The sequence below is a fragment of the Homo sapiens genome, chromosome 2, assembly GCF_000001405.40.
Source record: "Homo sapiens chromosome 2, GRCh38.p14 Primary Assembly".
Lineage (NCBI taxonomy): Eukaryota > Metazoa > Chordata > Mammalia > Primates > Hominidae > Homo > Homo sapiens.
This window is the reverse complement of record NC_000002.12, coordinates 120,898,134-120,910,977: the sequence shown is the minus strand read 5'-3', so window position 1 is coordinate 120,910,977 and position 12,844 is coordinate 120,898,134. Positions and strand designations below refer to the sequence as shown.

General features: G+C 52.9%; 1 protein-coding gene across 8 annotated transcripts in view, besides 2 other annotated features; it reads right to left on the bottom strand.

Annotated features, from left to right (window-relative positions):
• The window catches only part of GLI2 (GLI family zinc finger 2), a 256,786-nt gene that overhangs the window by 81,676 nt on the left and 162,266 nt on the right, over nucleotides 1-12,844 (bottom strand). The window lies entirely within an intron of this gene.
• Nucleotides 1,979-2,715: an enhancer, noted in NCBI's record as "H3K4me1 hESC enhancer chr2:121665839-121666575 (GRCh37/hg19 assembly coordinates)". NCBI's record gives its function as "activates a minimal SCP1, AML or CMV promoter by ChIP-STARR-seq in primed H9 embryonic stem cells {active_cell/tissue: H9 hESC(primed)}" and the evidence as "EXISTENCE:reporter gene assay evidence [ECO:0000049][PMID:30033119]".
• Nucleotides 2,716-3,451: an enhancer, noted in NCBI's record as "H3K4me1 hESC enhancer chr2:121665103-121665838 (GRCh37/hg19 assembly coordinates)". NCBI's record gives its function as "activates a minimal SCP1, AML or CMV promoter by ChIP-STARR-seq in primed H9 embryonic stem cells {active_cell/tissue: H9 hESC(primed)}" and the evidence as "EXISTENCE:reporter gene assay evidence [ECO:0000049][PMID:30033119]".

Here is a 12,844-nt window from a genome sequence, read left to right as displayed (position 1 = left end):
TGACCCAGGCCCTGGTAAGGAGGTGGAGCACCAACAAACTCCAGGAAACACAAGGCCAGCCTTGGTATTTTCACTTCATTCGTGGTCTTTCCAAAAGGAAATGTAACCCCTTAAAACAGAATGGGTCTGCCATGCAGCGGCATCTAAGTGCTGCCCAGGTACCCAGCGAAGTCAGAGGCAAGTCCGGGAGGGACCCAGGGGAGGGGAGTTATCTGTTTCCCCAGCTGTGTTCCTGGTGGCTGCTAATAACCCCCATGTATCATTCTGCCTGGCTCCGAAAACATTCTGACTGGCGTTAAAAATGGGCCCCTCTTCTGCCCGTGGCTTGGCGCCCCTGCAACACGTGTGGGATGCTGGTTGTTAGCATGCTGCTTGTGTAATTAGGGCGGCGAGGATGGCAAAGGGCCCACCCCGGGTCCCCAAGAGTGATTGCAGTTCAGAAAAAGCACCCACTTGGTTCTGCGCTGATTAATGATGGACCCCGCTAATAGCCCTGCTTAACACAGGAGTTTGTCAAGATTAAGTAATTGCCTGAAACAAAAAGTGTATTATCTTTAAGGCCCCACTGATGAATGACTGCTGCTAGGAAATGGGGTGATGGATGTCTGTGACTCCCTGCCACCATCCCTCCCCCATTTGCATAAATTAAAATGCATCCCTTGATTAGGCAAGAAGCCCTGACAGACCGTGCCAAGGGACCAGGTGGCTGAGGGCCCTGCTGTCACCCCTGGCTCAGGCCTGCTGACCACCGGGAGGCCCCAAACGGCTTGTTAGCATTATAAGTTGTGGGATGGACATAGGCCTCATGGGCAGGGGTGGACCAGATGCCCCAGGGGGATCAAGGTTGGGACATGACAGCTAAAAGGAGGAAACCACAGCACAGGAAAACGGAGGGGACCCAGAGGGAAATGGGACCCACAGCCCCAGCTATGGCTGGACGGAGGCTCACTCCACCCCCAGCTGGGCCTACACGGAGGAGCTGTAGCTATGGCTTCAGTCATCGGTCCCTTATGGAATAAATCTGTAGGAAGGCCTACGAAGGGTCTGCTGTCCCCAGGGTTGTGGGGTCCCCACCTGTAAAGTGGATTTTAAAATTTTATTTTATTTTATTTTGAGACGGAGTCTCACTCTGTCGCCCAGGCCGGAGTGCAGTGGCGTGATCTCAGCTCACTGCAAGCTCCGCCTCCCGGGTTCATGCCATTCTCCTGCCTCAGCCTCCCGAGTAGCTGGGACCACAGGCGCCCACCACCACTCCCGGCTAATTTTTTGTATTTTTAGTAGAGACAGGGTTTCACCGTGTTAGCCAGGATGGTCTCAATCTCCTGACCTCGTGATCTGCCTGCCTCGGCCTCCCAAAGTGCTGGGATTACAGGTGTGAGCCACCACGCCCGGCCTAAAGTGGGTTTATAAATGAGGGGGTGTGCACGATCTAACCACAGTCACAGAGGCATATTTTTATACCTCTGGGCATCAGGTTGCCAGGTCTGGGGCCATGAAGTCAATGTCCTTTGAGCATTTCTTTCCTTCTGGATGGCACTTTGTAAAAGACAGTTCACAGCAAGGGACAGAGCCAGGTGCAGTGGGAGGAAGCTGGCATGGGGTAGGGCTGACCAGAGATAGTGGCTGAGGGAAGGGCAGCAGGGGAGGGGAGCTGGGCTTGGTGGGGAGGGAGACAGTAGGGCCACATTTGAGAAGAGGCTGCAGGGCCCAGCCAGGCAGGGAACACCAGGTGGGAGGCACCTCCAGGTGATCTCTCTGTGGGACCCAACCAGGAAGAGCACTTTGGGCAGGAGCAAGCCCTCCCCACGTCAGCCAAAAGGCGGAGGGTGCATTTATTCCCAATGAATGACAACAATCATGCCACAATCCTATGGCTTCTGGTGGCTCAGGGGACCGGGGAACTGGGGGAGCCTCACAGCCTCTCTGCTGGAGGTTAACTCCTCAGCACAAGCACAAGCCATAGACAACACTGCACCCCAATTCCCCACCCTGGGTCAGGGATGCCATTTTCCAGGCACAGGCAGAGACGGGGGGTGATCTAGGCACTAACGTGAAGCCTTCTCAGCCTGCATCTGACTCCTGTAGACAGTCTGTCCTCCAGCCATCAGCCATTCAGCACTCTCCTTAGTGGCTGGCTCCCCCCTTCCTTTCTGGGCAAAATAAGATTCCCAAACCAAACCACCCACCCTGAATCTGCCTCCAGGCTGGAGTGACACAAGCTAGAGCTGGGAGCTGTTCCCATAACATTGGTTTCCCCTAAACCACAGCTTCAGCTTCAGAGCACATGCTATGTGTGGCCCATCGGTGGGAGGGGCTGGAGCCAGGGGGCCCAAGCAGTGGCCAGGTCTGTTGGGGGGCAGGGGGTGTCTTCCCTCCTAGGAAGGGGAAACTGCCTTCTCCCACATCACAGATGGCTGCAGGGCCCTGCCTCATAGTTCTCAGCCCAGGACCCAGGCTTCTTTTCCCTTTTCAGGTGCTGAGAGGGACCCACAGTGGATGACTCTAGAGCATGAGTCTGCACGGGAAGCAGATCCAGTGCTCAGAAGAGGGGGCCTCCATATGCAAGGGGCTTGGGAAAGGGGTCCCCATGCAGCTGCCCACCAGAGGGGAGGCGAGGATGCCACTTCTCTTGTTCTACCCAAGTGTGCACAAATGAGTCACCCTGAAACCCATGTCCATGCCACGCTCTGGACAGTCTTGGGCACCTTCCCCAATGGCCAGCCCCACTCAGGCCAAAGCCAAGCACGGCTGAGTGCACAGACCACCAAACCAGGGCATGAAGGGTCACCCCTGGGTGACAGGCCCCCCAGGCCATGGCTCCTCTGCTATAAGAGTCCCCACTATCAACCAGTCCTGCTGACCCCACAGTGCCAAGGGCAGGTTTAATGACCTATAATAGGGCCCCATGTGGGCATGAGGCCATCCTGTGCTGTCCACACCAGGGCTCCTGAGGACAGTCTAGCCCCCTGCTGGGGGCTTTCACCAGGTGGTGAAAAAGGATCAATTGGCTCCCCCTTGAGGGCAGCACCCATCACAGCTGCATCGTTCCTGATAGTAAGATTGCTTTCCCATGCCCAGCAGTCCGGTGGGAAGCACTCAGTGTACCACACAATGACAAAAGCTGCTGCAAGTTCCCCTGCGGGCACGGTTGTAGGCACTTCATATTCCTGTGTTGATTTGCTCTTCATTTCAACTCTGTGTGTGTGTGTGTTGGGGGGGTTATGATCACCACCCCCATTTACACTGAGGAAACAGAGGCTTGAGGAGTACATGACCCATCCAAGACCACACAGTGAGGAACTGTCAAGGAAGATCTGAACCCTCGTCTGCGATTCTCCAGCTTGCAGCCTTAAGCAGCCACCTGCCCTGCCCACTGGCTGGCGAGGAAGATGCCATGCAGATGGTGACTGTTCTTTCCCATTACACAGCCCGGCTGAATAACGTGAGAAGCAAAAGCCCTGACTACAGAAAACGCACTCCCCATGGTAATGGATAAATGAGCCCTGTGGGATCTTCCTACGAGAGGCCATTGCCACCCAGAGCCCCAGAGTCTCCAGGCTCCCAGTTCAGTCTCCACCGTGCAGCCCACATCTTCAGGTCAGGGAAGTTTCTCTGGTTTACGGACCTCCAGCAGGATCTCGGGCCCAGCCTCTGCTCTAAAGATGCACAGAGGAAAAAGTGCTGGGCCAGGTCTCAAGGACCACCCAGGGCACCCGTCAACAGGTGAAGCCAAGCCGAGGAGAGGGCTGAGAAGGCACACACAAAGGCACAGGGATGAGGAGCAGTGGAGTCTTCTGGGACTCCGAGAGCCCTGTGTGGTCAGAGCATCAGCGGCAAGGCAGCAGGTGAGGGCTGGGCTGCGACTAGGCTTGTTTGATGTAATGACGCTGGGCACAAGTCTGCTGGTGATGGAGAGACATTAGGAAGGTTTATGCAAGGGGGTGACAGGGACAGGTTGGTGTGGAGGGTGGGGTGTGTGTGTGATGCTGCAGACAAGGGGATGAATTAAGACACTGGTCTTACCTTGTGACCACTGGGTGACAGATGGAGGGCCTCTACCAGGGCGGGAAGGGCAGAGGCGGCAAGGAGGGAGGGGTGCACTCATGCTCAATGCAGGATGCAGGGCCAGCAGGACTCTGCCACGCGGGGATGCAGGGAGGGCGAGTCAAGCATTCTGGAGGAAGGATGCTAACTACCTTAGGTGGGTGCTGGTGGCCTCAACTATGAGAGGGGACACAGGGGAGAAGGCCTGTTTTGAGGGCGAGAAAGTGCTGAGTTTGAGATGCTGTGGAACACAGAGTGGCTGTGTCCAGAGACTAGTTACAGAAAGGAGGCCAGAGCTGGGGGCTCAGCTCTTGGTGGGAGGCTGTCCTCTGGGAGACATTGGGTGGTGGCTGCGACCTTGAAGGAGGACGAGATTGTACACGGCCAGTGTGTAAAGAGAGGGAGTGCGCTGGAGCTAGAGCCTGGGGACAGGGCTCTTGCCTGAGCTGCCCGGTGCTCACCTGGCCCCTTAGTTTCTGACCCTGAGGCATATTCCTGAGCTGCCAGCCTTGCCAGCTGAATCTGGACCCTGGGTGCTCCACTCCTTTCCAGCCTGCCTGGAGTCCAGGGCAGGAGAGGGTGAACCCCATGGTCTGCACCCAGCACCCCTGGGCTCCGGGCCTGATGTGTGGAGTGGGCCTCATCACCCACCTGCTGGTACAGGCAGGGAGAGGGGAAACCACTCGAGGGATGTGGCCACCCAATCCTACTCCCACTGTCCCCTCAAGTCAGAGTCAAGGAGTCCTGGTCACCCCAGGGGCCCTGACTTCCTATTGAACACCTTGCCTGCCCCGCACCGTGCTGCCTGAGACCAGGTCCCTGGCCCAGCTCCCCAAGTAGGTGTGGCTGCTGGCAGGAGGCTGGGCTCAGGTGGCTGTGCCCACAGCGAGCAGGGCATGCCATCTTGGCGAGAAGCGCCGGCCCTCCTTGGGACTGCACAGCCCCATCTGGGCGAAGGGTGGCCTACGCAGGTAACCGGAGCCCAACGACGGGCAGGGGACGGGATAAGCTGAGTGCACTGACCACCTGGGTGGACACTGGGGCCCATGTGGGGGCGGGGGGGGGGCAGTGTAGCCCTCCCCCAATCAGCCCCTGGTAACCTCAGGGCAACAGCCAACACCTGCTTCACAATTAGCTAAGGTGTGTTGGGCACTATATTGGGTCCTGATGGAATAACAAGAACAAGAGAAGCCCAGGCCTTCCTGGAGAACGTTCGTTCCTGCTGAAGGGCCCTCCAGATGCGGGCCTGAGCTATGCCCCAAGCCCAAGCCCTGAGGAGCCACTGGACAGTGGGCAGAGGCCTGCCCAGGTCAGCCTGGTCTTTGGCAACTCCCTGCTCCCAGACACAGAGAACTCATCCCAGGCTCTGAGCGTCTGGAAAGGAGGAGGGCTTTAGCTTCCTAATCCTGACATTGCCACTTAACAGCTGGGTGACCTTGGGCAGATCACCCAACCTCTCTGAGTCTCCATTTCCTCCTTGCAGGTCAGCAGAAGCAGGATCACATACCCATAACCTCACTCCCTGGCTGGCTGGAAGTCGGCACGCTGGCCCCTCTGGTAGGCAGTTCTCCCACCCTCCAAGTCAGCAGCTGGAGTATGCACAGGGACAGGCACCCCCACTGATGCTGTGGGGCGCCCCGTAGAGGTTCCAGCACTTTCCCCACAGCAGTAGGCTGAGTTTGGGCTTCCCCTCCCCTCCTCCTTCTCTCCCTCCCTCCCTTCTTCTTTGCAGGAACTGAGAGCCCCCTTTTACAGCCCCTCACTGCAGGCCCCAAGGGAGCCTGAGGCTGCCAGAAATGACTGCTAATACTTCCAGCCACATTTACTGAAACCTTTTGACACTGGAGGATATTTTTATGAGATAAGTGCCCTGTGTCGGTACCAACTGGCAAGTTTCATTGCTCACATTTCAGTCCTGCAAAAAGCCTTTTTCAATCACTGTCCGTGGCAACGATAAACTTTAATGGCTGAGGGAAAGCCTGCAGCTCAGGCGCTCTGTCCTTCCTGCCTCCCTGCCCCACACCAGCCAAACTCCCTCCCTTCTCTCTGCTGGGCCAGAGGCCGAAGCACAGGGGCCAATAGAGTTGGGAGAGACATCATCCACCCCCACCTCACCTCCTTTATTTTCCAACTTTGGTAGATCGCAGGCTCTGGAGGCATAGGAGAAACACCAGGGAATCAAGAGAGGCCAAAACCCAGCCCAGTACAGAAGCAGACTCTCTGGGGTGGCTCCAGGGCACCAGCGTTTTAAAAAGCTCCCCAGTGGATTCCATCGGGCAGGGGGCGTTGAGAACAGCTGCGCCTCCTCCTGGAAAGGTGGGTCCCTCCTCCTGGGAAGGTGGGTCCTTCCTCAGTCACAGTGCCACTTCCCTTGGCAGGCCGCTCCATGGCTCACACATGTTCACACAGACCCTGTCCTGCACCCAGGAGGTGCCAGGCAGACGTTCTCCTGATGGGAGAAAACCAAAACCCAGAGCTCGTGAGGTCACAGAAAGCCAGGGACCGACAGGCTCTCAGAGCCCAGGGCCCTGCCTTCCCACCAGAGCAGGCAGAGTTTAGAACGAGCATCTGGGTGAAGACTGGTCCTGGGCTGCCCCCACAGCAGGCACAGGTTCATGCTCAAGGAATGAAGAATGAGTGAAAGAATAAATCCATGAATGATTTTACCTACAGTAACTGATTCAGCCATCTCAGTGTCCTACAGGTAAGGATACTGCTTGGTGTTCCAAATGCTCTTTCCAGAAGGGCCTAGAATGTTCCAGAACTCAGGGGTCTCCATCCTCCCAGTCACTCTTGGCACCATTTCTAGATACATGCCCACTGCCCATGGCTGTCCTCATGGGATAAACACATGCCTGGGGATGAGGTGAGCTGGGGGAGGGGGACAGCCTCCTCCCCACCCTTGGATCACACTCCATGCTTGTTATATTCCCCCAAAACTCTGCACTGCCCACCTGCCCCTCCCCAATCTCCCCTTCCTGAAAGCCCACCTGCAGCAATGAACCCCTGAGTTTCTTGGCCCATGTGAAGTCACCACAGTCACCCGCCCGCTTCATAAGTTCCTGGTCTTCATCCCTCTGGATCCTTGGGGAGGAACACATCTGGGCTCAGCAGGAAAGAGGGGCAGAACAGCAGCAGCCAAGGGCAGGAAGCACAAAGGGGTTTGGGAAGGCTGCTTGTCACTTGGCTGTCACCACCCAGATGTTACTGTGTGTTGTGTAGGTCACCCTGCATCTCAAGTGGACAGAGACTCACCCACCTTGCACAGTACCCGCTCTGGAAATGAAGGCAGGATGTGAAATAAAGGACCAGCGAGCTAAGTCTGACTCCAAGAGCCTGGCTATTTTTTCTCAGGCATCCTTAGCCAACCTGCCTGTGGTTATGCCAAAGTCCAGGGATCTAAGGCTGAGGGTCCTGGGGACAGTCAGTCAGAACTGACAGTGGGACTTTGTCTCTCTCAGTGAGGCCCAGGCCTGCCTGGGGGCTCTCAGGGGGAGGGTCACTAGCACCCAGAACCCACAATCAAGAGGCTGGTGGACTGTTTAAAGAAACTGTCTGAATTGCAATTTTTTTTTTTTGAGATGGAGTCTCACTCTGTCGCCCAAGCCTGAGTGTAGTGGCGTGATCTCAGCTCACTGCAACCTTCGCCTCCTGGGTTCAAGCAATTCTTCTAAGTGCCTGCCACTGTGCCCGGCTAATTTTTGTATTTTTACTAGAGATCGTGTTTCACCATGTTGTCCAGGCTGGTCTCGAACTCCTGACCTCAAGTAATCCACCTGCCTCAGCCTCCCAAAGTGTTGGGATTACAGGAATGACCCACTGCGCCCGGCCCTGAATTGCATTAAAAAAAGTTTATTCCCCCATGTTGTCTGGCCCCAAATCCTGCCATGGAGAACTGGCTTCAATAAATGCCCCCTCTGCCATTCATCACTTGAGTCTCACTTCCCTCTCCTGCCTCAGCTCATACCATTTATTACACCCACAGTCTCCAAATGAACAACTTCTGCAACTTACAAACATACTTGAGAGCTCCACCTGTCCTCCCCAATCCATCAAGGCAACAAAATTCATTTCTCCTTGGGAGCCTAAAGAAGCCCAGGCTTGGGGACTAATTAAGCATTTCCTTTGAAATGCATGCATGCTGTAGATTGCTGAGGGTGAACTCCAACCTCTAATAAAATAGGAACCAGATGCCAGGAACAGGAGGTGCACAGCATCCTGCTATCATGGCCATCACCCAGGAGGGACCCGGCGAGGGGCAGCACAGCCTCTGGAGGGCTCTGGCTAATGTCAAAGTTCAGGTTCACAGCACCAGCTGGAATTTTTATTTTGGCCATCATCTACAACAAGGAATGAGTGCCTCCTGACACCCCCATGAGCACACCATACCTCCAGCCTTCATTCCCCCTTCCCTCCTTATTTTGCACACTCTGGGGAATCTGGCTGGAGCTCTAATTCTCCTGCAAAGCCTTCCTGAAATACTCAAACCTTGAAGGGACTGTTTCCCCTCCCACTACACCCGATGAGTACTGCAAAGATACAGCCCTTGGCCACAGAGTGTCAATTATTATAATATTAACCACCATTGCTTCTTCTCTCACTGGACCCTAGGCTTTTCTTATTATTGTGTGTTTTCCCAGCAAGTCCTCTATAGCCGGTTGTTAAATAGCTGCAGTGGTATGCTGACACATGTTAACAACCAGCTTTTGGGGGAAGCAATGGGGCAAGGGGTTGGGGGTGGGGGGGGGTGGGTGTCAATGGCTTGTAGCATGTGCCAATTTCCATGGTGTAAATGCTCTCACTGTGGCTGATTTCAAGGTACCAAGGAGAAGACACTGAGCATATAGTTTGGGAGAGATGCGTAGAACCAGCTCTCACAAGCTGGTGTTAGCTGGTATGAGCTGGCTCCAGCACGCAACTGCCAAATTGAGTCTCCACAACACTCTTTTTATTAAAAAAAAGGCACAACAAATCTGAATTTCCTGCAAATTAATACGATTTTCTACCTAAAAAATTACAAGTATATGTTTAAAAATGAGAATACCCAATGCTGAAAAGAGTGTTGTGAAGAACCTTGCTGGAAACAGTTACTCTTTGTCAGTAATCTCACCTCCTTAATCTACTCCAGGGTAAAAATCTAAGTGGTAAACAGCACTGGAACAGAGATTTTAATCACAGTAGAACTTCTAATACCAAACAATTGTAGGTAATCTAATCTAAAAGCTCAACAAGGGGGAAGTGGTTAGATTCAGTCCAGAATCATTCTTTAAGACGATATTGCAAGGATTCTATCACAAATAATAAGAAACAGGATGTGCACTCCGTGGATGTTGCCTTTCATTGGTGTCTTTCTCCTAGTGGTCTATGAAGACCCCTGGACCTGTTCATGCTCCCCAGTGGCCTGGCTGGGGGCTGGGGCCAGGAAGACCTGCAGAGGCCACGGAGCAGCACCGGCCCAGCGGAAGCCGCCTCTCCACCAGAGGCCTCAAGTCATATGGGCCGGCCAAACAGATGGGATAAATCAATGCCAAGGACGCTGTCACCCCAGGCAATCCAGCTCCACTCAATTTTCATGTGAATTTAGCAGCTCTGCATGGTTTTTAAGAACCCAATTGTATCCTGACACTTTTTAAATGATGCCTCTTTAGATCCCGCCATAATTTATCTTTTACTTAGGACCAGCTCTGCTTCCATAACAGTCTGGAAGAAAAAAACACACACACAGTGACTTCCCTTAATTTACAATAGTCTGCACTCAGTAAAACACGGATGGCAGGGGTTTGCCAAATGTGAATTCCATGTCAGCAGTGCATTTTGGTAAAGCTTAAGTGGCTTTATTTTGAAAGAAAATACACATTTAAAAGCTGTTTACCTATGCAAGTGGGGGCGAGGGTAAGTATGTGGGTGTGTGAGAAAGAACATACCCTGGTACAAACAAACCCCAAAGTGAAGATTTACACCTGCCAGCCAAGAGGGCTCTGTTCTCCCTCTTAAAAAGAAAAAGGATCAAATTCTTGAAAAGTGCAAAGGAAAGTGAGTGACCAGACAGATTCTCTGATGGATCCGCATTCTGAAATCTGAACCCACAACTCTGAACCTGAACATGGAAGTCAGCAGATGTGGGGCCACCTCCAGAGCCGCCTCTACCATCCTGAGCAAACCGCTCAACATCACTGACCTCCGATTTTTGGATACAATGTCCGTCTCCACGCACATCCCTTGTCTATTTTACCCAGGGGCTGTGAAAGTAAAAGACAGAAGAAGACAGCAAATAATGTTTATCTAGAGCCTAAAAGGAACTGGGTGTTGTCCCCTCATCTTGTTTCTTCCACAGAACCCTCATAGGGCCAAGGGTTAACATCGCTAGGGTGCAGAAGGGAAACCAAGGCAGCGAGTTCTCAGATCCTATGCACAGGGTCACCAAGCTAGGTAATGAGAGCTTCATGGAGAAAATGCCATCTGAGTTTGCAAAACAGAAGTGACTTTACTATTTGGAAACTGCCTGTTTTGGTCCTTGCTTCTCAGCAGCTGCAGCAGTGGCCATCACCTGGTGTGTGTTTAAAATGAAGACTCCCAGACCCCATCCTGGACCTGTGGATTCAGAAGCTGGCAGTTTAGCAGGATCCTGGGCTGATTCTTTTGCACACTGAAGTTTGGGAAGCACTGGTTTAAGGGATATATTCTGTTAAAGAAGGAACAAGAAAGAGCCGGAAGGGAAAAGAGCAAGGCAGCCAGGATATCCACCATTCAAGAGGCAATGGGGGCTGCAAACAAGCTGGGGCCTCATTTTGTAACCACCCTCCCACCCCCAGGAGATTCTGCCTCTTCTGCCTTGCCTGCCTCAGAACTCAAAGTAAAGCAAACTTTCCCCAGCAGTTCCCAGTGTGGCCCCCGGCCGGCAGCCTCTGCATGTCCTGGGAGCCTGCTAGAGACGCAAATCCTCCGCACCTTCCCAGGCCCTTGGAATCAGAAGCTGGAGTTGGGGCTCAGCAGTAACAGGCTTGTGGGTGATGCAGCAATCCTAACAAAGCTCACTGTCACAATGGCCCCTGTCCACATAACAGGGTCATTTGCATTTTACTGCAGGTCCACACCTGGCTTGGACACCAGTTAGAAAAACAGCCTGCCTTTACACTCGCTGTACAAACCTCATTTCTAAAGCGTATTTTCATCGATGACTTCACTTAACCCTCAGAGTAGCCACAAGAAAGAGGAAGATGGGCACCGCCATTCCTATTCTGCAGAGGTGAGACTGAGTTCCGTTATATACAGGTCCCAGACAGGGCTGAACAGGGCCTTCTGAGACGCTGCTGTGACGCCCACAGTCACCCTCAGTTCACTGCAAGTTGCATCACACAGCCAACGAGACCTTTTCGACCCAGACAAGACTGGCTGATGGCCTTGCGCAGGCTCAGCTAGGAGCAGGCTCGGGGCACTCGCCTTCCTTGGGGAAGCTGCAGCCTGAGGAACAGGCTGTGGGGTGGAATGTGTGTGCATGTGTGTATGTGTGTGTGTGTGTGTGTGTGTATGTGTGTGTACACACAAGTGTGTATGAGAGAGAAAAAGAACATACTTCCAAAAAAGGAAGTCCTGGAAGCAAACCCCTAAAGTGAGAAACGTGCTCTCCCTCCCATCCTCAAGTGTTTGCTTCTATATTACACTGATCTGCAAAACCCATCTCCCACCAAGACGCCTGCTTGTAAAACACAAATGCACAGATGAGGCCCAGCTGCAGCCTGCTCTGGCTCACAATGGCTCACAATGAGCCTGCTCTCTGCAGATTGATCTCCAGGAAAGAGCTCTCCTGGCGGGGTGCAGGAGGCTTGCTGTCCTTCAGAGGAGTTTCCAGTGAAGGACCCAGTGTTTGGAGAGAGGCGTAAATGCGTGAGCAGCCAGGCCCTCCCGGAGGGAGTAGAGGAAAAAGGACTCCACCGCAGACCCTTTCGTTTCTGTGTCTGGAGGTGCCACGTGCTGACAACTGCCATAGCTCCTGGCTTTTCTAACCCTGGTCCTGGATTTAGAAAAGTCTTAGCACCAGCAGCCATGTACAGATTTGTTCCATAACTTGCTCTTTCATTCTGGGTGAGAACAACATCCAGCTACCCCAACTGGTAACTGTCATTTTGGACAAGTCGCTTCACCTCTCTGAGCTGCAGTTTCCTCATCTATTTTCTCTATCTGAGAAAATAACAAAGGACACTTTGTTATGATACAAGCAAGGGACTTCAGATTGGTGATGTCATCCAGAGGAGACTAGAAACCAACAGAATCCTCCGAAAACGCTGTGCCCACAATCTTTGCCCTCTTTACAAAGTAACACAGATACTCCTTGCCACCCAGAGCCGGGTGGTGATAAAATGAAGCTCTCTTTGTAAAGTGTCGAGCCCATAGTGGGTGCTCCATAAATGTTCATTTCCCCTCCCTGAAGCATGGCTCTGCACTCCGAGCTGGAAAGAAAGACAAACGCACCCCAATTCAGTGCGAATCCAGGCATGCACGCCCCAAGTGAGGCAGCCCTCGCTCACATCCATTTGCATTTCCTTCTGCGAGTGCTCCAATTTTAAAAGCTTAATATTTATTTAGATATTTATTTTCACTGTAAATACAACACATGTTTACAGAGATATTTATTTTTCTCTATAAACACAGTAAATGTCTGGGGAAAATATAATCCCAAACTCACAGGACTGGAATGATTTTCTTTATGACAATCATTTTGTGTGTGTGTGTGTGTGTGTGTGTGTGTGTGTGTGTGTTTTAATCTATATCAGTGCCTTATGCCATTGCGTTTTAACCCTAA